The sequence below is a fragment of the Homo sapiens genome, chromosome 1 (genome assembly GCF_000001405.40).
Source record: "Homo sapiens chromosome 1, GRCh38.p14 Primary Assembly".
NCBI lineage: Eukaryota > Metazoa > Chordata > Mammalia > Primates > Hominidae > Homo > Homo sapiens.
Genome location: NC_000001.11, coordinates 20,036,615 through 20,063,869, shown reverse-complemented (window position 1 = coordinate 20,063,869; position 27,255 = coordinate 20,036,615). Strand labels below are relative to the sequence as shown.

At 41.4% G+C, this 27,255-nt stretch overlaps 1 protein-coding gene and 1 pseudogene across 16 annotated transcripts in view, besides 3 other annotated features; both read right to left on the bottom strand.

The window, feature by feature from the left end:
- The window catches only part of PLA2G5 (phospholipase A2 group V), a 63,504-nt gene that overhangs the window by 28,042 nt on the left and 8,207 nt on the right, over positions 1 to 27,255 (bottom strand). For 10 of the 16 annotated variants that reach the window (XM_047422635.1, XM_011541589.4, XM_047422637.1 and 7 more), the window contains exon 2: positions 4,178 to 4,238. The exons of 2 other annotated variants lie outside the window; for them this stretch is intronic. The gene's annotated coding sequence lies outside the window, so the exon portion shown is untranslated. Of the gene's footprint in view, positions 1 to 267; positions 387 to 4,177; positions 4,239 to 9,030; positions 9,079 to 27,255 lie in introns of all 16 variants that reach the window. 4 more of the 16 variants (XM_047422616.1, XM_047422645.1, XM_047422608.1 and 1 more) reach the window with 3 other exon arrangements.
- Positions 405 to 574: an enhancer, noted in NCBI's record as "experimental_1624 CRE fragment used in MPRA reporter constructs". NCBI's record gives its function as "activates a minimal promoter by MPRAs in K562 erythroleukemia cells, with activity observed for both the introgressed and non-introgressed 1:20389874 or rs12028351 variant alleles {active_cell/tissue: K562}" and the evidence as "EXISTENCE:reporter gene assay evidence [ECO:0000049][PMID:34662402]".
- Position 489: a transcriptional cis regulatory region, noted in NCBI's record as "Neanderthal adaptively introgressed variant 1:20389874 (GRCh37/hg19 assembly coordinates) or rs12028351 in the experimental_1624 CRE". NCBI's record gives its function as "modulates activity of the experimental_1624 enhancer by MPRAs in K562 erythroleukemia cells {active_cell/tissue: K562}" and the evidence as "EXISTENCE:reporter gene assay evidence [ECO:0000049][PMID:34662402]".
- Positions 16,615 to 16,784: an enhancer, noted in NCBI's record as "experimental_1609 CRE fragment used in MPRA reporter constructs". NCBI's record gives its function as "activates a minimal promoter by MPRAs in K562 erythroleukemia cells, with activity observed for both the introgressed and non-introgressed 1:20373664 variant alleles {active_cell/tissue: K562}" and the evidence as "EXISTENCE:reporter gene assay evidence [ECO:0000049][PMID:34662402]".
- LOC100419911 (prenylcysteine oxidase 1 pseudogene) lies at positions 24,426 to 24,940 on the bottom strand (annotated as a pseudogene).

Here is a 27,255-nt window from a genome sequence, read left to right as displayed (position 1 = left end):
GTGGTTGCACTGGACAGATTTCGTGTTCCCTGATAGCTAGGGCACCGGGCAAAGCCTCACAGAGGATTGGAGCCCCATTTCTGCCATGAACTTGCTGAGCCTGTTTCTCCATCAATACATTGGGATGATTGAGCTCCATCTGTGTTAAGAGCTCCTCCAACTCTGTGTAATTATTTTTATTTTAAACATATTCATTCCAAATCAGGGCCTTGCTCTTCATTTCCCAGGCAAGGGTTTCAAGTTTCCAACTGCAGCCTCTGCACCTACCATGCTCATCCTGCCTTTGGTCCATAGAACAGTGGTCAGATGAGGTGTCTGTCCTTCCAGCTGCTCGACTTCACATCTTAAAGCCAAGGAAGAGTCTAGTTCTGGAGGGGCAGCCTCTCCTGGGCAGGTCAGAAACAACTCCAGGATGTGAGCAAAGATAGAACCTGCTCTTCCCCATCCCTCTCCCCACAGTTTCCACTGACCCCAGCTGGCCTCAGAGACATTTGACTGGAGAAGATCCTGGCTCCATCCTGAGGCCAAAGGAGAATTTACTGCAGTTTGATAGACTCAGAAAGTCGACTGAAAAAATGATGGAATGGGCAGCCATCACTAACCAGGGCACCTATTTGTTGTGAGAAAATCAAACTCTTTTGGTTTTTTTCATTTTCATCTTCATTTTTATTTTTTTAGGGAGGTGGTCTCACTCTGTTGCCTGGGCTAGAGTACAGTGGCGTGATCATAGCTCACTGCAGCCTTGAACTCCCGGGCTCCCATCCTCCCACCTCACCCTCCAGAGTAGCTAGAACTACAGGCACATGGCACTATGCCTGGCTTCAATGTAAACCAAACACAGACTCTCTGAGGGACTATGAGTAGGTGCTTCCCCACGTCCATGGATCTTCTCAGTAGTAAAGCCTGGGCTCTAGAAACTTGGGGCCACAGATCTCTCAGAGATCTGTCCAGTGGTGAGTTGACTGGGGCCCAGACAAGCAGCTTGTCCATCATCTCAGAGTCTCTCGAAGGCCAGGCCTAGAACTCATCTGGCTGCCTTACTACCTGGTGTCTGGAATGGGCCCCCTAGGCACACAGATGTACCATTTATTCATCCAGTCCATCACCCAACACACATTGACAGCGCCCCTTCCATTCCACAGGCCCTGTGCTACATGGTAGGGGAAAAAGAAGGACAGCAGTGTGCCACCTCCCCTGTCCCCTCTGAATTTTGGTGGTTTGTTTGTTTGTTTGTTTTAATACTTAACGAGGTTTCCCTATGTTGCCCAGGCTGGTCTGAAACTCCTGAGCTCAACTGATCCTCCCACTTTGGCCTCCCAAAGTGCTAGGATTACAGGCATGAGCTGCCACACCCAGCCTGCTCTGAGTTTTCAGCTCAGGAGAGGACAGAAGTGGGGACTTGCTTTGATTCCCCTGAAGCCACCAGAGTTTTCCTCTCAGAGGATGTCCCTGCTCATCTTCTGTGTCTGGGAACTCCGCATTGGTTTTAAACTGAAGTTTCTTGCATCTTTCTGGCGTGGGATGTGGAGAGACAGGAGTATGAGATGCTGGGAGTTTCCTGTCTGATGGGAAAGACCATTTCGTATTCTCCAGGGGTTCTCAGTCTGAAGGAAGAGACAGCCTCTGTATTAGGCCATTCTTGCACTGCTATAAGGAAATACCTAAGACTGGGTAGTTTATAAAGAAAAGAGGTTTAATGGCCTCATGGTTCTGCAGGCTTTACAGAAAGCATGATGCCAGCGTATGCTCGGCTTCTAGGGAGGCCTCAGGAAGCTTAGTCATAGTGGAAGGTGGAGAGGGAGCAGGCACATCACATGGAGAAAAGAGGAACAAGCAAGAGATCTCAGAGTGAGAGGTCACTCATCACCAAAGGGATGGCCCAAGCCATTCTTGAGGGATCTGCCTCCATGATCCGAACACCTCCCACCAGGCTCCACCTCCAATATTGGGAATTACATTTCAACATGAGATCTGGGTGGGGACAAACATCCGAACTGTGTTAGCCTCTATCCTTAGAGACCCCCAGGCTTTGAGAAGCCCCTTGTTTGGGGGACAGATAAGATACACAAATACAAATATGCAAAGATGTACAACAGTTTATAAAAAGGCAGAGGGCTGGATTATTGCTGAAGGAAGGATAGGAGGTGGGTTACCCACAGGGGAAGGCCTTTGGAGTAAGATATATGGAAAGAGGGATTCTTTTAGGCCCTGTTTATTTCAAGCACAAAGGAGAAATCTGCTTTCATAATAGTGCTTAGATTTTTTTTTTTTTTTTTTTTTTTTGGAGACAGGGTCTTACTCTGTTGCCCAGGCTGGAGTGCAGTGGTGCAATCACGGCTCACTGCAGCTTCAACCTCCTAGGCTCAAGCAATCCTCCCACCTCAGCCTCCTGAGTAGTTGGGACTACAGATGTGTGCCATCATATCCAGCTTATTTTTAATTTTGTTTCTAAAGATGCGGTCTCCCTAGGTTGCCCAAGCTGATCTCGAACTCCTGAGCTCAAGTGATCCTCCTGCCTCAGCCTCCCAAAGCGCTGGGATTAGAGGTGTGAGCCACCATGCCTGGTATGTGCTGAGAGATTTATAATATGAGTGGGGCAGTCAGGCCAGGGTGGTGTGGATGTGAGATGGCTATTCTGGGGCAACAATTCTTAAAGTAGAAAACAGCATGAAGTATGCTCTCTGGAAAAGATGAAGAGGTAGATTCATTTGTATCCCTGGGTCAGATCCCACAGAGAGGTGAGAGCAATGGAGAGATGAGGCCAATCTGGGAGGAGGTCCGGAATCACCAGGCTGCCTGGTCCATGAAGGGCCATCCAGTCCAGTTTCCTGCTGCAACAAAAGACTTGCTCTAGGCCGGGTGCGATGGCTCATGCCTGTAATCCCGGCACTTTGGGAGGCCAAGGCAGGTGGATCACCTGAGGTCGGGAGTTTGAGACCAGCCTGACCAACATGGAAAAATCCCATCTCTACCAAAAATACAAAATTAGCTGGGCATGGTGGCTCATGCCTGTAATCCCAGCTACTCAGGGGTCTGAGGCAGGAGAATCGCTTGAAACTGGGAGGCAGAGGTGCGCCATTGCACTCCAGCCTGGGCAACAAGACCAAAACTCCATCTCAAAAAAAAAAAAAGAAAAGAAAGAAAGACTTGCTCTATGTAGCCCTAAGTGGGCTGTTGGCCTCCTCCTAAAAGTCATTCTAACACTAGCCACTTGTTTCCTTTGAGTCTTAAAACCACCTGCTAAAAGGAGGTGCTCTTTACATCTAGCCTAAACTGACCACTGCAATCTAATGTCTTTCTGTTGAAAACACTGAACTGGCTGGGCATGGTGGCTCACGTCTGTAATACCAGCACTTTGAGAGGCCGAGGTAGGCAGATCACCTGAGGTCAGGAGTTTCAGACCAGCCTGATCAACATGATGAAACCCCATCTCTACTAAAAATACAAAAATAGCCTAGCGTGGTGGCGCATGCCTATAATCCCAGCTACTTGGGAGGCTGAGGCAGGAGAATCGCTTGAATCTGGGAGGCAGAGGTTGCAGTGAGCCAAGATTGCACCACTGCACTCCAGCCTGGGTGACAGAGTGAGACTCTGTCTCAAAAAAAAAAAAAAAAAAAAAAAAGAAGAAAAAAGAAAGTCAGTAAATAGTGAACTGATTGAAGATAAGGGCTGGTTAACAGTGTTCTACCTCCAAAAGCATGGCTTTACAGTGCCGTAGGTTGAGCCAAGAAGGTCAGTGGCCTATAGCAATCTGGCCCCTGCTGACCTCCAACCTATGTTTCACCCTTTGTGCTCCACTGGGCTGGGCTTTTCTCACTTCCTCAACATCACACTTCCTCCTTGTGTGCAGCCCTAGTGGTTACAGTATTCTCCAGAATCCTTGGGGGTGCTGGAAAAGCAGGTCCTAGACTGAGTTTCCAGAAAAAGACTCCCAGAGTCACATCCCAGAACTGATCTGTTAAGGGAACGGCTGCTTCTACCACAACAAGGAGCTGCTCATTAAATCATGAAGCTGTTGTTCCCACTTCTATCCCCAGAGTCACACCTCTGCTATGACAACCTATACCAGCAAATCCATGCTTTACGTCCTGCCTCTTTTCCCACTCACTCAATTCTGATTTCAATTCCCAAGCAAATATATCTGATAGGCAGAATCTTAAAATGGATGAAAGCTTACCTGCAAGGAAGCCTTAGCCATCATTTTTGCCTTTCCAGCCTCTGCAGAGTAGAAAGGTACACTAGAAGGAGATGAAATAGATGTTGAGCAAGCCAGTTCATAGATAACCTCCACAGTTAATAATCCTTTCATTTATCTGACTGATGCATAACCCTCTTCCCATATTTGTACTTCACTTCCAACTAAGTGGTCCTCCTTTGAGCCTATTGTTCAGTAGCATGAAGACCCTAAAATGGCCATATGGTCTTTCTCTCTCTCTCTTTTTTTTTTTAGACAGGACCTCACTCTGTCACCCAGGCTGGAGTGAGGCAATCAGGGCTCACTGCAGCCATGATGTCCTAGGCTCAAGCTATCCTCCCACTTGAGCTTCCCATGTAGCTGGCACTACAGGCATGTGCCACCACACCCAGCTAATATTTTTTAGTAGAGAATAGGTCTTGCTATGTTGACAAGGCTTGTGTTGAACTTCTGAGCTCAAGCGATCCTCCTGCCTTGGTCTCTCAAAGTGCTGGGATTATAGGCATGAGCCACCACACTCGGTCATGTGAGCCCTTTTTTTTTTTTTTTTTTTTGAGACAGTCTCACTCTATCACCCAGTCTGGGTGATTCTCTCACCTCAGCCTCCTGAGTAGCTGGGATTACAGGTGCACACCACCATGCCTGGCTAATTTTTGTCTTTCTGGCAGAGATGGAGTTTCGCCATGTTGGCCAGGTTGGTCTTGAACTCCTGACTTCAAGTGATCCTCCCATCTCGGCCTCCCAAAGTGCTGGGATTACAGGCATGAGCCACTGCACCTGGCCCATGTGATCATCTTTAACATTCAGTTTAGTTGAACCAATTTTGCACACCCTAATAAAGGCATTCCTCACTTGGCTACTAATATCTTCAGCCTCAAGACTGGGCTGCAGAGGAAGCTGTTGGCCCTGACACAATCAATAAACCAGCTTGTCAAATCGAGAAGCTGCTGCTGGAGCTGCAGCCCCAGAATTTAACACCCCTCCTACACACTGTACTGGCAAAACCACTTCCTGCAGGCTTGACTCACTCAGCCATTAAATCAGTTCTAAATTCAAGGCTCATATGATTGTATCTTATTTACAAATCCTGAATCTCATTCAGAAACCTAGCTGCAAAAGAGACCAGGCATGTTGTCTACAAGTTCACTTTAAATATAAAGACATATATAGATTAAAAGTAAAGGGAAGGAGAAAGATATACCCTACTAATACTAATCAAAAGAAAGCTGGAGTAGCTATGTTAATTTCTGCAAAGCAGATTTCAGAGTAAGGAAAATTATCCGGAATAAAGAGGGGCATTTACATAATGATGAAGAGGTCGATTTTTCAAGAAGACATAACAGTCCTTAATGTGTATGCCCCTCACAACGGAGTGTCAAAATACGTGAGGCAAAAACTGAGAGGACTGCAGGAGAAATAGACAAAGCCACTATTATAGTTGGAGACATAACCACCCTCTCTCAGTAATGAACAGAGCCAGCAAGCAGAAAGTCAGTAAGGACATAGTTGAACTGAACAGCACTTCTAACAGCTGGATCTAAATGACATTTATAGAATACTTCTCCCCAACAACAGTAGAATACACATTCTTCTCAAGTTCATGTGGAACACTCACCAAGATAGACCACATTCCATGCCATAAAACATACCTTAACAAGTGTAAAAGAATAGAAATCATACAATGCATGCTTTTAGACCACAATGGAATTAAACTAGAAATCAGTAACATAAGATAGCTAGAAAATCTCAGAATAATTGGAGATTAAACAACACACTTCTAAATAACACGTGGGTCAAAAAAAAAATCTCAAGAGGAATTTAAAAATATTTTGAACTAAATTAAAATGAAAATATAACACCAAAATTTGTAAGATGCAGTAGGGTGCGGTGGCTCATGCCTGTAATCCCAGCACTTTGAGAGGTCAAGGCAGGTGAATCACCTGAGGTCAGGAGTTTGAGACCAGCCTGGCCAACATGGTGAAACCCCATCTCTACTAAAAATACAAAAATTAGCTGGGTGTGGTGGCACATGCCTGTAGTCCCAGCTACTTGGGAGGCTGAGGCAGGAGAATCGCTTGAACCCAGGAGGTGGACGTTGCAGTGAGCCAAGATTGTGCCACTGCACTCCAGCCTGGGTGACAGAGCGAGACTCTTTAAATATAAAGACATATATAGATTAAAAGTAAAGGGAAGGAGAAATATATACCATACTAATACTAATCAAAAGAAAGCTGGAGTAGCTATGTTAATTTCTGCAAAGCAGAAATTACCCCCCAAAAAATTTATGGGATGCAGTGACAACAGTGTTTAAAGGAAAATGTATAGCATTGAACACACACATTAGAAAAAAAAAAAGACCTAAAACCAATAATCTAAGCTTCTACTTTATGAAATAAAAAAAGGAGAGCAAATTAAGTCCAAAGTAAGTAGAAGAAAAGAAATAACAAAAATTAGAGTAGAAATCAATGAAATTGAAAATAGGACATCAATAGAGAAAAGCAATGACACCAAAAGTTGATTCTTTGAAAATATCAGCAAAATTATAAATCTCTAGCCAGGCAACTAAGAAAAAAGAGAGAATACACAAAAAACTAGTATTATAAATAAATGAGGGGCCATCACCACTGATTCCATGGACATTAAAGGAATAAAAGTAATATTATAAACAACTCCATGCTCAGAAATTTGATAGCCTAGATGAAATGGACCAATTCCTTGAAAGATCCAATTAGCCAAAATTCACATAAGAAGAAATAGATCATTTGAATAGACCAGCATCTATTAAATAAATTGAATCAATAATTAATAACCTTCTAAAATAGAAACTATTAGGCCCAGATAGTTTCACTGGTAAATTCCACCAATATTTAAGGAAAAAATCATATTAATTCTGTACAATCTCTTCCAGAAGGTAGAAGCAGAATGAATACTCCCTAACTCATTCTAGGAGGCCAGTATTATTCTAACACCAAAACTAGACAAAGATATTATAAGAAAGGAAAATTACACACCACCATATCTTAAAAACATAAATGCAAAAGTCCTCAACAAAATATTAGCAAACTGAATCCAATAATGCCCAAAAAGAATTACACACCACAACCAAGTCAGATTTATTCCACACATACAAGGCTGATCCAACATTTTAAAATCAATTAATGTATTCTGTCACATCGACAGCCTAAAGAAGAAAAACAACACAATCGTAGCAATAGATACAGAAAAGGCATTTTACAAAGTCCAGCATTTATTCATGATTTAAAACTCTCAGCAAACTAGGAATAAAAAGGAACTTTCATTGAGTTCCAAAGACTGAGCCTAGGATAGGGGGGCAAGATGGCCAACTAGATGCAGCCAGGAGGAACACCTGCCCTTGAGGGAGTGGGACATTGGGAAGACTGCCACACTCTGAGTGGATCTTTAGAAGGAAGGCATTGGGAGCTACCGCAGTGGGGCAGGATGCTGATGATGCAAGAGGATGTGTATTTTGGGTGGAAGGGGTATGTGGGAAACATTTGTACTTTCAGCTCAATTTTGCTTTGAACCTCGCAGCTCTAAAAAGTAAAATCTTTTAAAAGAAGGGGAAAGAGGGAAAGGGAAATGCAGTGTTTAGCCTTTTAGCCTCTGGAATTTAGGGACAGATACCAGGAGGCTGGAATAAATGTTGAGTGAGCCAAGATGCAGAAAATACTTACCCAGATAACTCCTAAACTCCCTGCAGACCTCAGATAAAATGTCATCTTCCTAGAGAACCTTCTCTGATCCCCAAACTAGTTGAGGACCTTCTGTTCAACATGCTGTTGCAGCACTTAGTTCTCCACTGCACTTACTACACGTATAGGTCAGGGTTCAGTCAGGGAAGCAGAAACATTATGAAGATTAAAGAAGGAGAGATTTATTATGGGAAATAGACCTCCTGCAACTTTAAGAGGAGCTAGGGAAGCAAAAATCTAAAAGACAGAGTGAGACAACCAAAGAAGGGTCACTGCTAGTCCCAAAGCACTGGGTCGGTGGACAAGTTGGATCTACAGGGAAATCTGAGAAACTGTCTCCAATTCCCAGAGTAAGAGGCAAATGGGAGCTTCTGGAGAGGTCTACTAGAAGGGGTTATCCCAGTGCAGCTACCAGCTCTATGGTCCTGCAGCCAAACATCAGGTGGTGGGCCAGAGCTGTAGTTGGTCATCAAGACCAGTGGGCAGTAAGAAAAGCTGGACACAAAGCAGAGGAGAATGAGAACAATTGAAACCACTCCAGAAACCCAAGCACCAGTCTGTCCAGAATTCTGGCTACAAGGACTTGCAGAGAATAAAGGTCACTGATTTATTTCCGCCCCTAAAAATCTTGGGCAAATTTACCTGTTGGCCCACTCTAATCTAGAACCATACGGGAAAGAGAATTCTGGGAGACATAGTTCCCAGATTAACTGAATGGATCATGGAACAATCCAGCACACAATATTCTGTGACTGTGTGGGGGTTTCATCATCTGGCATACGTTTCTCTGTGTTGCCAGATTGAAATGCCATCAGGAAAGGGACTGTTTTTGTTTTGCTCACAGTTGCATTCCCACATAGTACCTAGATTATTGAGTAGGTCCTCAATAAATATTTGTTGGAGGAACAGTGATTTTTTTATTAGGATTTCAGCAATGACTTGGAAAAATTATTTTTTCATTATAAGAGGAATGCCTGCAAAATGGAAAGTCTAATAAAACATTCTGTTGGGGAGGGCATAGTGGAAAAGGCAGTCTCATACATTACTAGTGAGAATGTGAGCTAGTTCAACTATTCTGTAGGGGAATTTGGTATCACCTAACAAAACTACGTATGCACTTACCTTTTGAGCCAGTAATCCCACTTCTAGGAATCTGTCCAGAAGATATAACTGCAATATTATGAAAATACATATGTACAGGTCACCGACTAAAGCAATATGTGTAATTGTGAAACAGCAGAAAAACCCTAAATGTCTATCCTGGGAGAATGGTTGGAAAAATTATAGTACATCCCAACAATGGAGGACTGTAAAAATGAAAGAGGGGCTTAGACCCCACTGAGACAGCCACCAGAAAAGACCTCTCCAAGTTGGGAGGAAAACATTAAACATATTTTGAAAAAAAAAAGAAAAATGATCTCCATCTCTTTATATGAAATGATTTCCCACATCTACTGCTAGGTGAAAATAGCAAAGTACAAAATGATCTATGGTCTCGTATCCATCATATAAGAAAGAAGAGGCTAAAAGAAAATATATGTGTATCTACACATTTATGCAAAAGAATTTCAGGAAGAACCAACCAAAAATGAATGCAGCTACCATGACAGACACACCCTAGAGGGACCTCCAGTGAGTTCACCTTTGAATAATCCTTCCTCCTTTAGTGCAGGAAGAACCTCTGAATTGCTTCTAACTAATGGAATATAGCAAAGGATGTGGGGTAATCAGTCACTTGATTATATTACATTATAGAAGACTCTGCCTTAGCGGATTGAATTGAGAAATTCTCCTGGTGGCCTTGAAGAAGGTAACTGTCATGTTGTAACTGCCTATGGAGAGGACCTCTAGGAGTTGAGGCCATGGAGGAGCATGGAGGAGGACCAAGTGGAGGGTTATGATCTTCACATAGGAACATGGTCCAAACAGCATCTTGTTTGCAGTCTTGTGAGATAACAAATCTAAGTGGTTCTAAGCTGCTTGTTTTGTTTTAAATTTTAAGTTTCTGAAAACTTATTACACAGCAATAGATAACTAATACTGTAAATTAGTTTGTGTAGTATGGTACTATAAAACTGGAAACACATCCTTATTCATTTGTCAAAATCCATGGAATATACAACACAAAGAGTCAACCCTAATTAAACTGTGAACTTTGTTTGATAATATGTCAACATTGCTGCATTAATGGTAACAGAGGTACTGCACAGAGGTGCCATTAACAAAAGATAACTAAATCTGCAGGAGGAGAAGGGAATTAGCTGGAAAGAAGAAGAAAATGGACAGAGAATAGTAGAGACAAGTGAGAAACAACACTCTTCTGAGTATTCCTTTTAGTATGACTTTCATCTTTTTTCACAAGGGAAAGTTTTGCATATCACCCCCCCCCCCGCAAAGTAATACATAATTAAAATCAACTAGGATGTGAATAGAACCCAAAATAGAATACAATCACAAAGAAATATAACTATATGAAAAATAAATTTCATAATCACACTTAAGGGAGGCAGGAAAACAACTAAAAGACTGACCTAAATAACTTCAGAAAACAGTACTTTTATGGTATACCATAAGGCTAAAGATAAAAAGAAATGTACACAAACACTACCTGCTAGTTAGTAAATTTGTTTCTCACAGAGGTATGGATTATCAGTTTTGAAACTTCTTTATTTGTACTACAATTGAACAAATAAGTAAAAATGTTGTAAATTTAAAAATTCCTGTCAGATAAAAGAGTTATAAATTGAAAAAGAGAAGGCTTGAGAATTGTGAAACCTGAATATCTGAGACAGGTCTCAGTTAATTTAGAAAGTTTATTTTGCCAAGATTGATGACACACATCCACGACACAGCCTCAGGAGGCCCTGATGACATCAGGCTAAGGTGGTCAGAGCACAGTTTGGTTTTATACATTTTAGGGAGACATAAGACATCAATCAACATAGGTAAGATGAACATTGGTTTGGTCCAGAAGGGTGGGACTACCCAAAGAAAAGGCAGGACAATTTGAAGTGGGGAGGGGGCTTCCAGGTCATAGGTAGATAACAGACAGATGGTGGCATTCTTTTGAGTTTCGCATTAGCCTCTCTAAAGGAGGCAATCAGATATGCATTTATCTTAGTGGGCAGGGGGTGACTTTGAATAGAATGGGAGGCAAATTTGCCCTGAGCAGTTCCAAGCTTGACTTTTCCCTTTAGCTTAGTGATTTGGGGGCCACAAGATTTACTTTCCTTTCACATTTCCCCCTTTTCTTTTTAAAAATAGTTTGGAGAAAGAATTTTAGAAGAAAATGAGTCTCTAGTCTCAGGTTTTGTCTGATTACTCATGGATTCCTGGATGAGTAGGTCCGAAGTTATTACAAAAGTTCATTTTTTGCAGGTTGTGAAGTCTCATGTCCTCTGAAGAGAAAATACGGGGAGGAAGGGAGAAAAACAACAACAAATGAAAGAACAATCCTGGAAAATCAAGATAGGCCACATTACTCTGAGGTCCATGCATCAGGTATGAAAGTGGCTTATGTATGTAAATAGGTTGCTGTTATTTTCTTCTGAAGTTTGAATTGTCCATCTTCAGTTCACAGAGCTTTACAAAAGCACAGCTTAGTTTTCAGTGACTCCAAATTAGGAAAAATGGAGGAATAAAGAAGGAAAAAAATGGAAAACATTATTTGAAAGACTTGTAGCCAAGAAAAATTATAATTCAATCCAAGGTAAAAACAGGTGTACTATATTTTTTGAAACATAATTTTTCATTCTCCAGTTTCCCATTTTTTTTTTTTTTTTTTTTTTGAGATGGAGTCTCGCTCTGTCGCCCAGGCTGGAGTGCAGTGGCGCGATCTCGGCAGTTTCCCATTTTTAATAAAGAAAAATCATGGTAGGACTGATTTGCTTTATTATACTTGGACTGATTATTTGTACACAGTGCAGCAGCAAGAATAATTATTTTTTACATAGGCTTTTAAATTGGCTTTGATGGAACTTTGTTCCATAGAAGGAATCTCAGATAAAACTTTGTTAAAGCCAAGCCCAGCCATAGATTTTTACCATCAAATACTTGAATTGGGTGAATTCCTCTCCCCTTGAGGTTCCAAGATAAACTTGGGGCTCCTGGGCCTGTCAGAAACTGTCATTCTTTACTTACCTCAGGTCAGGAACCCTGTACAGGGACTGTATAGACTAGGTATGAGGCCAGTTTTCCCAAGGGGCTTTTATTGGCTCCATAACTCAAGTTTGATTCCTTAAAGGAAAGCATGCCATTCCAGTCAAAGCCTTGGCAAAATAACCAGTTTCTCCAATTGTGTCCTATTATAAATGAAAACAGATTCTTACTGCACTTATGCAATTAACTGTATTGCCATAAGTTATGAATACCCACAAATAGTTTCCAAATTCTGGAGAAATCAGGTGGAGATAAACAAATATGTTCTAAATTTTGTTCCATAGGAGTATACTAAATTGTTAAAAGCTGTTAATAGCTCAAAAGAAAATTGTCCTTGACTCTGAAAAAACAAAGGATCAGCAACATTTTAAGCAAAAAGTCAAAAAGATTACTTCAGTCTTCTATTAGTTCAGTCTGTGTAGTTAATTCCTGTTCTGCTTCATATTCATGAACATTTCAGTTCTCCATGAGTCATGACAGTTTTTCTTCTATTCTGATGTCACAATATCCAAAGTTATCAGAAACTTGTATTTAAGAGCACCTGTTAGAGTTTCATAACTGATTATAATAGCATCTTCTAAAGAGGACCTAAACAAGACAATTGTCTGTGGATGACAAAAAGTTTCAGGGCAGCCATAGTCAAAGACACAATTGACAAGGGAATTTATTACCTCTGTGGCACACAATAATTTAACATAACTATTTTAAATGATCATAACTAATTAACATAACATAATTACTATAGATAATATACACTAAGTCAATCAGAATTATAGAAGTTTCCCATGATTTCGGAACACATACCAATAACATATTTATATAAACATAACCCAAAGAAAACCAAACACAATTTCATATTTAACAATATTTCCTGTATAATTTTTATACAAATAAGCAAAATTATGTCATTTTTGGACTTCAGGGAATCTAATATCTTAAAGAATTAATTAGGTCAGAAAAAGACAGAATTTATAATTTGATTTTGGAAAGTTTGTAAAATATCAAAGCTTTAAAACACTTGATATCAGAAGTCATTGTAAAATAAGTCATTCATTTAACCAAAGTGATAACTCAAGTATTTCCCAAAAAAAAGTCAAAAACCTTTATTATTTGAGAAAGGAGACTTCATTTTCCAAACTATAAACCCTAATAAAACAGCATGAAGCCAATTAAATTTGTTTTTCAAAATTTTACAATCTATAAAGTTTTAATCTTGACCATAAAATTTCCATAAGCCTTTTATAACCTTTATTAAAAAGTTGGTTAATGCTTCAAGAAGATCTTGTTAGTCTGACACAGGGTCCCATATGCTGGTCTTGCATCAGTGTGCCTTTGACATTAATGATTAACTTATAGAGAAACTGAACTTATTTTATCTCTCAAAATTGGCCCTTACAATCTCACATGCCCACCTCTTCCATGATAGTCTCTGGGCCTTGAGGAGTTGATTAGCTTTAATTTCTAGCCCTGTGTCTAAGAATGCAGTTTATTTTGATTGGCATCTTCTACTGGGCCTGAAGATGAGGCTTTAATTACTGACAGTGTTTAAGATCTAGCAGGACTTGGTGTCCTTTTTAGACCCAGGAGTCAAAGCCCTGTAACTCAATGTCACAAATACTTAAAAGCACATACAGAAAGATACATGAATATAATAACCTTAATTTTAAAAAATTTTATCTGCCTTTTCCTAAGCAAACCAAAACTTAATAATAATACATAGGAATTGTTTCAATAAACCTTAAAATCTATTAGGCCAGTTACCAAAAGGCAAAAGAAAAGACCTTCTGCACTTCACAGGATATTATGTTGGAAGAAAACATTTCGTTTAGACCTTTAAGAAAACATTGTTAGCATTAGGCCACAACAAATAAAACTTGAGGAAAAAACTTATGTGAGCTGAAAATAAGTTGAAGGAGAGCGTTACTATTTCACACCCTTTAAAAGGAGAGAGAAAACCAAAAATGGTGAGATGTAATAAAAGTTGAACTTTGGGTTTGTATTCATCTGTTCTCATGCTGGCAATAAAGACATACCTGAGACTGGGTAATTTATAAAGGAAAGAGGTTTAATGGACTCACAGTTCCATATGGCTGGGGAGGCCTCACAATCATGGCAGAAGACCAAGGAAGAGCAAAGGGACATGGCAGCAGGCAAGAGCACATAACATGTGCAGGGGAACTCCCCTTTATAAAACCATCAGGTTTTGTGAGTCTTATTCACTATCATGAGAACAGCAAGGGAAAAACCCACCCTCATGATTCAATAACCTCCCACTGTGTCCTTCCCATGATATGTGGGGATCACTACAATTCAAGGTGAGATTTGGGTGGGGACACAGAGCCAAATCATATCAGGGTTAAAAAAAATTAAAAGCTCTTATAATTTATTAAGAATAAATCAATTCCTTAAGAAAATTTCATTGTTCTAACCAATTATTTAGTGTATGAGTTTTTTACATCAAGCTCAGTCTCTAGAAAGATTATAATGTTCCTTTAATTATAGACAACTTGATCGTGTAAAAGCTTTTTAAAATAAATCCTCTTATTGTGACTTACACAGACCATTCATGATATGCCTGGACTTTCTGGTTTGTCCTGAACATCCCTCTTTCTTAAATAACCAGTCATTTTATTCTAGGACTAAATTTACCATACAAGATTCTTTCTCATATAAAATTATGTATCTTTAAGCTTTCTTACCAGAAAAAACCCTCTTTATTTTTATAACTTTCCTTAAACCTCTCTTATTTCCTTGTTCCTTTTACTTTGTTTTATATATAACCTTTAAATAAGCTTTGAATTCGACAAAAATTGTTCAACATTTTTAAAAAGAACACAACTTTTTTAGAAAGAATGTCTTCCTACGAATATATTTTTATTGGAAAATACCCAAATAATGAAATATCTATTACTTAATTTAATATAACTTTAGATTCTAAATTGTGACATTTGTCTACAAGTATTCAGTCCATTACACTTACCTAATTATTTTATTTTAATCATTTGCCTAGATTGTTTATGAAAACTGTCATAGTCATCATTTAAACTTATGGAACCACCACTGCAAAATTATAACAGACCCAGTGAAGAAGATCTGACCTAACTGACTCTATCTTGCTTTTAAACCTCCAAGCTGTTCTTGTTCATACCTGGGCATAGGCCAAACTAACTTTTGGAGGAACTTAGTTTATAGTTTAGCTTTGAAATAAAGATGATAACAGTCCTTTCCCAAAACAAACCTTACTGTCTGTGGACTAGACTGCCTAAAGCCACAAGATTAGAAGTTATGGTAATCTTACTAAATTCAAGATGTAGCTAGTTTCATTAAACAAATATCAATGTCTTATTTATTAGAAATTACACAAGCAAAGATCATTCTGATTGGGGCTTGGTTTAGAGTTTTGTAACCCCTATTCCAAATTTTGATGCCTTATAGTATTTGGTAGGGATATGTATAAAATTTCTTGATTCATAAGCACAAACAAAAATGTATGCTGGAAATTCTTAAGACATTTCTAATATTATTATACTTTACCAACAATTTTAAGGCTATCTTATTTATTAAAGATTTTACTTAAGTTATTAAACTTGAAAAAGCATTTGACTACTCTTTTCTTTTTTCCTGATAAACTATTTGATTCAAGAGCTTTTATTTTCTTAAGCCAATTAATTAGAGCTTTTATATATTTTCAGTAGTGAAACATTGTGTACACAACACATAAATAGATAGATGTGTTAGGCATGCCAATAGAAGTACATCTTATAGAGTCATAAAAACCTCTTTTTTCCCTCTCAGACTTTAAAATTCTTGAAAACCTGTTTCAATAACCTGTATAAATTATTGGTAACCCTAGGCAGTTGTCAGCTAAGTCATCTTAAATTTGCATATCAAAGGAAACAAATCAGGTGAAAATCAAATAGTAAAATTTACATCATTAGGTACAGAGAGAAAAAGTCTAGCATGTTACAGGAAAATTAAAATGGATTGAATTGCCAATTAAACATCAAATTATAGAAATTATAAATGCCTTTTAAATATATACACATACACACACACACACACACACACACACACACACACACACAAAGATCCTATAGCTTTTACTTCAGAACTTTAGCCATGAGATAAACACAAATTCACCAGCTTGCAAACAAAACACCTGTTGGATCCAAACAGTGGTTTTTATCTTAATAGAAAAATAACAGCAGATTTAAAGCAGGCAGAAAATAAAATAGAGAAAAAAAGAGAACTTATGAACTCTATACTTTGCAGGTTGACCTTAGGGCTCTTTTTCTCAATGTAAATGTGCACAAAGACCATACTACTTTCATTTTACATAAACTCTGGCAAGTAGAGATGCCATAAAACCTACAGAGTGCTCACAGAGGAGTCATTCTCTTTGTTTTCTCCTCATTCTTACATCATTTGTTTCCCACTTTTTTTTTTTTTCCTAAAAGGAGGAACTGAGCTGTGGCTTAGGGTTTTTGTGTGGTGGATCAATGTGTGCTTGCTTGTGGGCAGGACTCCACAGTGTGTCACCACTGAGTTGTTTCCACCCTCTTACATGTCTCAGTTTCTCTCTCCAGAGGTCTAGGACTTCAGAGAGGGCTCAAAACGCTGGGCAATCAGCCCTTATATGAGTTTCCTGGATGAGCCTCATTCTTTCAAATTAATTGTTGTTGAGGATTTCCCTGCAGGGCTGCTGCAAATCACAGGGGGTTAAACCCCCAGACACTCCCACAAGGCCCCTGGTTACTCAGGGGCACCTTTTGGCTGGGAGGAGCAAAATGACCTTTCTCTTCAGAGCTGAGAAAACTCAGTCTCTCATTTACCTATGAAAACAACAGTTTCTCACACAAATGCACACAGACAAGCTCATTCAAGATTAATTTTGGGAGAAAAAGTAAATAGAGAAGACCCTTTAGAATGTATCTCCAAACTAGAATTAGGATCCTTAAACAACAACTTCCTAGGAGAAAATAAGAAACAACAGCCAAGACCACTTTCTGTAAACTGTACTCAGCCACCCCTACTTTGTAGCTCCCATTTGCCATAACACATGCCAAGGTCAAATCCTCTCACAGTACAAAGTAATCTCTGGTACCCCCAAAGCCAAAAAGGTCAGCTCATTCAATACAGGAAAACAGAGCTTTAGACCTAAGAAGAATCTGCCCATGACTCTCGAAATTCCACAAAGAAAGAAGAACATCCCAAAAGGGGTGATTGGTGCCTTTGTTCTGAATTATTTAAAGGGGTTCAAGTCATTAAAAGCCTTTTCTAGATTTTTGATGCTGCAGATGGCAAGAGAGGGAAGGAGATATAGGGTGGAAAAAAAGTAAAAGAACTTTTTTTAAGATAGGAAGTAAACACAGAAACCAAGCACATGGTTTTGGGGATTTTTGTTTGTTTGTTTTTTCCTCTTTTGCAGTTGCAAGGAATTTTAACCAAATTAGAGAGGCTTTGTTACCCATAATTTGGAATTCTCACTTGGATTTAACCAAGTCAGGTAGAGTTGGTCAAATCTGATTGGCAAAAGACTGGAAGAAACAACAACAACAAAAAACCAACAATATGATCGCTGAGCACTCTAATGGTAAAAAGAAATTAAGACAAGCTGGTTGTTAGACTTTAGATAAGACAAAACCCAAATTCAGCTACTTACCTAGGGATGGGTCTCAGGCTGAAGACTGTCCTCTACCATCCTAGAAGCAGGAAGAAACTCAAACTCATCCTGCCTGCTGGGAGTGAGCTCAAATTCCATAAAGGAGTTACCTGCCTTCCAACATCATGGAAACAGGAAATCTTGCTTTCCTTGTTGGAAGCAAGTAAAACTCAAAAAAAAAGGATGGGGTGGGTAGAGTTGTACAGCAAAATAAACTTTAGATCTCCACCAAATTTTGGGAGATCAGAGATTCTCTGTGTCACACGCATCCGTGTGAAGAAACCATCAGACAGGCTTTGTGTGAGCAATAAAGCTGTTTATTTCATCTGGGTGCAGCCTGCACATGGACACGCATGACATTTAGTGCTCAGACTTGGATAGGGGAGCCTCCACTGGGAGATCAATCCCCTGTCCTCCTGCTGTTTGCTCCATGAGAAAGATCCACCTATGACCTTGGGTCCTCAGACCAACCAGCCCAAGGAACTTCTCACATTTTAAATCGGGTAAGCAGCCTCTTTTTACTCTCTTCTCCAACCTCTGTCACTATCCCTCAACCTCTTTCTCCTTTCAATTTTGGTGCCACCCTTCAATCTCTCCCTTCTCTTAATTTCAGTTCCTTTCCTTTTCTGGTAGAGACAGAGGAGATATGTTTTATCCATGAACCCAAAACTCCAGTGCCAGTCACGAACTTGGGAAGACAGTCTTCCCTTCATGTTTAATCACTGTGGTGACGCCTGCCTGATTATTCACCCACATTTCAGAGGTGTCTGATCACCGCAGGGATGCTTGCCTTGATCTTTCACCTTGGTAGCAAGCACCACCTCCCCAGGGGGGCAAGTACCACCACCAACCACTTCTCTCCGTGTCTCTACCCTCTCTTTTCTCTGGCTTGCCTCCTTCACTATGGGCAACTTTCCACCCTCCATTCCTCCTGTTTCTCCCTTATCCTGTGTTCTCAAGCACTTAAAACCTCTTCAACTCACACCTGACCTAAAACCTAAATGCCTTATTTTCTTCTGCAATACTGCTTGACCCCAATACAAACTCAACAATGGTTCCAAATAACCAGAAAATGGCACTTTCAATTTCTCCATCCTACAAGATCTAGATAATTCTTGTCGTAAAATGGGCACATGGTCTGAGATGCCTGATATCCAGGCATTCTTTTACACATCAGTCCCACCCTAGTCTCTGTTCCCAATGTGACCCATCCCAAATCCTCCTTTCCCTCCCCTCTGTCCCCTCAGTCCCAACCCCAAACGCTGCTAAGTCTTTTCTATCTTCCTTTTCTACCGACCCATCTGACCTCTCCCCTCCTCCCTAGACTGCTCCACCTCAGATCGCACCCTGCCAGGCTGAATCAGGCTCCAATTCTTCCTCAGCCTCCGCTCCTCCATCCTATAATCCTTCTATCACCTCCCCTCCTCACACCCAGTCTGGCTTACAGTTTCATTCCGTGACTAGCCCTCCCCCACCTGCCCAACAATTTCCTCTTAAAGAGGTGGCTGGAGCTAAAGGCATAGTCAAGGTTAATGCTCCTTTTTCTTTATCCAACCTCTCCCAAATCAGTTAGCATTTAGGCTCTTTTTCATCAAATATAAAAACCCAACCCAGTCCATGGCTTGTTTGGCAACAACCCTTAGACGCTTTACAGCCTTGGACCCAGAGGGACCAGAAGGCTGTCTTATTCTCAACATGCATTTTATTACCTAATCTGCTCCAGACATTAAATACAACTTCAAAAATTAGAATCCAGACCTCAAACCCCCCCCACAACAGGAATTAATCATCCTTGCCTTCAAGGTGTACAATAATAGAGAGGAGGCAGCTAGACAGTAATGCATTTCTGAGTTACAATTACTTGCCTCTGCTGTGAGAAAAAACCCAGCCATACCTCCAGCACACAAGAACTTCAAAATCCCTAAGCCACACATGCCTAAGCTGCAGTGGTCAAGCATTCCTACAGGACCTCCTCCATCAGGATCTTGCTTCAAGGGCCAGAAATCTGGCCACTGGGCCAAGGAATGCTCACAGCCCAGGATTCCTCCCAAGCAGTGTCCCATCTGTGCAGGGACCCACTGGAAATCAGACTGCCCAGCTCACCCAGCAGCCACTCCTAGAGCCCCTAAAGCTCTGGCCCAAAGTTCTCTGACTGACTGACTCCTTCCCAGATCTGCTCAGCTTAGTGGCTGAAGACTTACACTGCCCAATCACCTCGAAAGCCCCCTGGACCATCACGCATGCCTAGCTTCAGGTAACTCTCACAGTGGAGGGTAAGTCCGTCCCCTGCTTAATTGATATGGGGGCTACCCTCTCCACATTACCTTCTTTTCAAGGGGCTGTTTCCCTTGCCCCCATAACTGTTGTGGGTATTGACGGCCAAGCTTCAAAATCCCTTAAAACTCCCCCACTCTTGTGCCAACTTGGACAACATTCTTTTATGCACTCTTTTTTAGTTATCCCTACCTGCCCTGTTCCCTTATTAGGCTGAGACATTTTAACCAAATTATCTGCTTCCCTGACTATTCCTGGACTACAGCCACAGCTCATTGCCACCCTTCTTCCCAACCCAAAGCCTCCTTTGCATCTTCCTCTCATATCCCACTACCTTAACCCACAGATATGGGACACCTCTACTCCCTCCCTGGCAACCAATCACACACCCATTACTAACCCATTAAAACCTAATCACCCTTACCCCACTCAATGCCAATATTCCATCCCACAGCAGGCTTTAAAAGGATTAAATCCTGTTATCAATTGCCTGTTACAGCATGGCCTCCTAAAGCCTATAAACTCTCTTTACAATTCCCCCATTTTACCTGTCCAAAAACTGGACAAGTCCTACGGGTAAGTTCAGGATCTCCACCTTATCAACCAAATTGTTTTGCCTATCCACCCTGTGGTGCCCAACCGGTACACTCTTTTGTCCTCAATACCTCCCTCCACAACTCACTATTCCATTCTTGATCTTAAAGGTGCTTTTTCCATTATTCCCCTACACCCCTCATCCCAGCCCCTCTTTGCTTTTACTTGGACTGACCCTGACACCCATCAGTCTCAACAACATACCTAGGCTGTATTGCTGCAAGGCTTCAGGAACAGCCCCCATTACTTCAGTCAAGCCCTTTCTCATGATTTACTTTCTTTCCGTCCGTCTGCTTCTCACCTTATTGAATATTTTGACAACCTTCTACTTTATAGCCCCTCCTACAAATCTTCCCAACAGGACACCCTCCTGCTCCTCCAACATCTATTCTCAAAAGAATATTGCGTATCTCCCTCCAAAGCCCAAATTTCTTCCTCATCCATTACCTATCTCAGCATAATTCTTAATAAAAACACACGTGGTCTCCCTGCTGATCATGTCCGGCTAATCTCCCAAACCCCAACCCCTTCTACAAAGTAACAGCTGCTTTCCTTCCTAGGCATGGTCAGGTACTTTCACCTTTGGATACCTGGTTTTGCCAACCTGACTAAACCATTACATAAACTCACAAAGTAAACCTAGCTGACCCCATAGATCCTAAATCCTTTCACCATTCTTCTTTCCATTCCTTAAAAACAGCCCTAAAATCTGCTCCCACCCTAGATCTCCCTAACTCATCCCAACGCTTTTCATTACACACAGACAAAGTGCAGGGCTGTGCGGTCAAAATTCCTACACAAGAGCTGGGACCGCACCCTGTAGCCTTTCTGTCCAAACAACTTGACATTACTGTTTTAGGCTGGCCCCCACATTATTCCTAATACCACACCTGACCCCCACGGCTGTATCTCTCTGATCCACCTGACATTCACTCCATTTCCCCATATTTCCTTCTTTCCTGTTCCTCACCCTGATCACACTTGGTTTACTAATGGCAGTTCCACCAGGCCTAATCTCCACTCACCAGCATAGGCAGGTTATGCTATAGTATCTTTCACATCTATCATTGAGGCTACCATTCTGTCCCCATCCACTACCTCTCAGCAAGCCAAACTCATTGCCTTAACTCAGGCCCTCACTCTTGCAAAAGGACTACACGTCAATATTCATACTGACTCTAAATATGCCTCCTATATCCTACACCACCATGCTGTTATATGGGCTGAAAGAGGTTTCCTCACTACGCAAGGATCCTCTATCATTAATGCCTCTTTAATAAAAACTCTTCTCAAGGCTGCTTTACTTCCAAAGGAAGCTGGAGTCATTCACTGCAAGGGCCATCAAAAGACATCAGATCCCATTGCTCAGGCCAATGCTTATGCTGATAAGGTAGCTAAAGAAGCACCTAGCGTTCCAACTTCTGTCCCTCACTGCCAGTTTTTCTCCTTCTCTTTGGTCACTCCCACCTACTCCCCCACTGAAACTTCCACCAATCGATCTCTTCCCATACAAGGCAAATGGTTCTTAGACCAAGGAAAATATCTCCTTCCAGCCTCACAGGCTCATTCTATTCTGTCATCATTTCATAACCTCTTCCATGTAGGTTATAAGCCACTAGCCTGTCTCTTAGAACCTCTCATTTCCTTTCCATCATGGAAATCTATCCTCAAGGAAATCACTTCTCAGTGTTCTATCTGCTAGTCTACTACTCCCCAGGGATTGTTCAGGCCCCCTCCCTTCCCTAGACATCAAGCTCAGAGATTTGCCCCTGCCCAGGATTGGCAAATTGACTTTACTCACATGCCCACAGTCAGGAAACTAAAATACTTAAAATAGATTTTCCACTACCTATCCAAATCCTATAAAACTGCCCCACCCCTATCTCCCTTTACTCTCTTTTCAGACTCAGCCTGTCTGCAGCTAGGTGATTAAAAAGCTTTATTTCTCACACAAAGTCTGTTTGGTGGTCTCTTCACACAGACACAGGTGACACTCTGGAGGGGGTGCTCCCAGACCTCAGCAAATTGTTCTATTGATTTGGGCCATAAACTTAGCTTATGCTGATACCAAGCACCTATAGGAGATTCGTCAAAGATCAGGGGTACCTCCACTCAGAATCCCTTTGTGGTTGCCAAAATGTAAATGCTGAATATCTGAGACAGGTTTCAGTTAATTTAGAAAGTTTATTTTGCCAAGGTTGAGGACACACACCCATGACACAGCCTCAGGAGGTACTGATGATATGTGCCCAAGGTAGTCAGAGCACAGTTTGTTTTTATACATTTTAGGGAAACATGAGACATCAATCAACACATGTAAGATGAACACTGGCTCGGTCCAGAAAGGCAGGACAACTTGAAGCGGGTAGGGGGCTTCCAGGTCTTAGGTAGATAAGAGACAAATCGTTGTATTCCTTTGAGTTTCTGATTAGCCTCTCCAAAGGATGCAATCAGATACACATTTATCTCAGTGAGCAGATGGGTGACTCTGAATAGAATGGGAGGCAAGTTTGCCCTGAGCAGTTCCCATCTTAACTTTTCCCTTTAGCTTAGTGATTTTGGGGCCTCAAGATTTATTTTCCTTTTACAAAATACTTGTTGATATCTTGGATTGGAATTGGAGTTATCAGTATGAATTCATCATTTGAGTAAATGAGTGTGAGTGTTTGTGTGTGTGTGTGTGTGTGTGTGTGTGTATTTGTCAGCTTTGAAGCAATGACATCCCACTAGCAATGAGCACTCTTAGTTCCCAGATATTTGTTTCTAAATGTCATTTTGAGAAAAAGGAAAAAGAAAAGAACCATGACATCTCAGAAAACAAGTGGCTAATTCCAGGGCTTTGAAAGACAGAAGATAAATTTGGGGCATTTTGTGGTGTCAGAAAGTAGGATGTGCTAAAACAAAAACAAAAGCAAAATGATGAGGAGATGCACATAAGTAAGATGGCTGAATAAGACTCTCCATTGCTTATCCCTTTGCATCATCTTGAACAACTATCTGTACAAAAATACCTTCACAAAAGTTAAAGAAACCAGGTGAAAGATTACAGTGCCTGGGTATAGCAAAGGACATATAGTATAGCTTTACTATACTATAGCAAAGGGTATAGTAAAGCAAAATAAACTTTCTAAATAACAAAGGAACACATTGAACAGTGTAGGAAGGACAGTTTTTTGTTTGTGTGTTTGTTTGTTTAATGATATTCTTGTCTATTTTGAACAAAATCTTTAAGGGCAGAATATTTTGAATACAAGAGTAGAAAGAAGACTCAAAACAAAACCCATACCAGTCCATTGTGGTTCTTTGTGAATAGTTTGGTGGTGAGAATGCATTCCACAATATCTAGTTTATAAATTTTATTTTATGGCCCACAGGGTCAAATGAGAGATATATTACAGACGGTTACATTATAAACCTAAGTTTAAGAAACCTGACCAAGCTAATGCTGAAGGTCTATTCTTTTTGTGATCTGATTAAAAGCCTGCAATTCTTGAACTACCTAAAAACTGTACAGAATGGAATATACACAGATACACAGTCAGTATGTAAAGTTCTTATAAGACATGGCACACAAAAAATGGCTTCTCTCTCTCTCTCTCTCTCCACTTCCCCTCACTTTCTCAAATGATATTTCCTATTTATAGGAAATGTTTACAACAAAAGAAGAGCTAGTAGAATCAGACTAAGTAAATTGCAATAAGGAGAGTTGGTGTTAAATCCAGTATTTTTTAATTATTCCATTCCTCAGCAGCAATTTGTAAAGTTTTACTGACATTGATTCTTTGCAACAATGTAGAGCTGAATTGTGGAATAGTTCTCCAAGTGTAATTCCTGTCTATTTAATCCTTGTTTTGTCCTCTATGAACATTACTGGGCCAGATATAACATTGCTTTTGGAAGCTTGAAGAAACCCTGAGGAAACAAGTTTATTGACACCTTCCACTGCTCAGAGGCTAGAATCAGTGATTCTGCCCTCCAAAAGACATTAATGTCCATGCTTTGGCCATAGTTGACCCTCATTATAAGATAAACAATTTCATTGAGGAATTTCTCAGAGAAGCCCTCTCCTCTGGAGCAAAATCACAGCTACAATTCAGGCCTCCGGTCACAAGATGCTGGGGAATGCCTCAGTCACAGATTCTTGCTCGATGGACAACCTACATCCACAGACAGTGAACCTGTAACTCGAGACTCAGGTGCCACAATAGGTTCACAAGACCCTAACTGAGCTTAGGAACCCAGTCCCACAGCCTCTCCAAGCACCTACACCTGGAACCCACACCACCACAACTGAGTGTAGACAATGTCAGATCTGATGCCAAGAGGAATACCCTCAGCTGTTACCCCCATTGTGGGGAAAATGAGAATAGGAGGACTCCAAAAGCCCTTGACGCTGAGGACATCAACAACCACAGGACTGCTGTTACTGCCAAAACTTCTACAGTCTAGGCCACTTAGTTGCCCACTATTATTACTTATCCTTTTTTTCTTTTTTTGAGACAGGGTCTCAATCTGTCACCCATGCCAGAGTGCAGTGTCCAATCATAGTCTACTGCAACTTCAAACTCCTGGGCACAAGTGATCCTCCTCCCTCAGTCTCCTGAGCATCAGGGACTACAGGCATTTACCACCATGCCCAGTTAATTTATTTCTTGTAGAGATGGGGTCTTGTTATGTTGTTATCTCAAACTCCTGGACTCAAGCAATCCTCCTGCCTTGGCCTCTCAAAGTGCTGGGATTACAGAAGGATTTAACCTTACCTAGAGCTGAAATGAATTTAGAGAGCAGAGCAAAATATAAAGTAGAAGAAGCAGCAGGAAGAGTCCTGTGGGCATTCCTGATCCCCAGGAAAGCCATTTCTGACGTTGTCTCACAGGGGTCCTTGGGGAGGGCTGCTAGTGTAATTGGGGAAAGATCACAGGGAGAAGGAAACTTCCAGTTAAATCTTATAATAATTTTGACTAGCTGTGAACTTTCCTGGGCAGATTTTTTTTGGGGGGTGGTGGTGGCAGGGAACAGGATGTGCAGATATGACCACAGAATCCACCGCAGTCAGGGAAGGGCAGGGCCTAAAAGCCCTGCTTGCTTTCTCAACAGGGAGGCTTGTAACCTGGGGCAAAATCTCAGCCCTACTCACCAGCTGCCTGGATATGAACTCAGTGCTGGTGGTGGAGCACAGTGGGAATGAGACTAGTCTTGCTGGCTGCATGGGAACTGGGTGAAGCCTGTCACTGCCAGCTTCCCCCTACTTCCCTGGTGACCTGCATGACACAGCAAAAGCATGCATAATCCCCCTGGGAACCTAATGTCATTGGCCTGAGAACCACATCCCTATCCCCCACAGCCATTGCAGCAAGCCCCACCCAAGGAGAGTCTGAGCTCAGACATGCCTAACCCTGCTCCCACCAGATGGTCCATCTCTACCAGCCCTGGTAGCCAAAGACAAAAAACATAATCTCTTGGGAGCTCTATGATCCCGCCCATTGCCTGAAAAACCTGAATACTTACTTAGGCAACCTTAGGGCAAACTTGTATTCCCCCATACTACCACAGCTGATGGTCTCTTGAAAGCACCAGCCCCTAGCTGGAGGCCAGCCAATGCAAGCCATTATAGCAACTCATAACAGAACAACCCTGCTCCAAGAAAGGAGAAAATAACAGCTAATTCCACTGCCTGTAACATCCTGGCCAACTAGAGGTCCTGAGTCTGTCCATGTGACAATTTCACTGCTAGCACAACCAGCATTCAAGAAAACCAGCACACCAAATAAAACTACAACCAAGGACCCTCACAGAGTCCTCTTCACTTCCTTGCTATCTCCACTGAAGCAGGTGCTGGTATTCATGGCTGAGAGACCTGAAGATGGATCACATCACAGGACTCTTTGAAGGCGTTCCCCAGTACCAGCCCACAGCCCAGGAGCTCTGCTGGATGGCTAGACCCAGAAGAACAATAATGATCACTGTAGTCCCGCTGTCAGGAAGCCCCATCCCTAAAGGAAGGGGGAGAGCACCACATCAAGGGATCACCCCATGGAACAAAAGAATCTGAACAGCAACGCTTGAACCCCAGATCTTTCCTCTGACATAGTCTACCCCAAATGAGAAGGAACGAGAAAATCAATTCTGGTAATATGACAGAGCAAGGTTCTTTAACACCCCCATAAGATCACACTAGCTCACCACCAATAAATCCAAACCAAGAAGAAATCTCTGAATTGCCAGAGAAAGAATTCAGAAGGTCAATTATTCAGCTACTCAAGGAGGCACCAGAGAAAGGTGAAAACCAACTTAAAGAAATTTTTAAAAGGCCAGGTGTGGTGGCTCGTGCCTGTAATCCCAGCAGTTTGGGAGGCTGAGGTGGGCAGGTCAGCTGAGGTCGGGAGTTCGAGACCAGCGTGACCAACATGGAGAAACCCTGTCTCTACTAAAAATACAAAATTGGCCAGGTGTGGTGGCACAGGCCTGTAATCCCAGCTACTCCAGAGGCTGAGGCAGGAAAATCACTTGAACCCAGGAGGCAGAGGTTGCAGTGAGTCGAGATCATGCCATTGAACTCCAGCCTGGGCAACAAGAGCAAACTCTGTCTCAAACAAAAAAAAGAAAGAAATTTAAAAAATAATACAGGATATGGACAAAGAAGTCTCTAGAGAAATAGA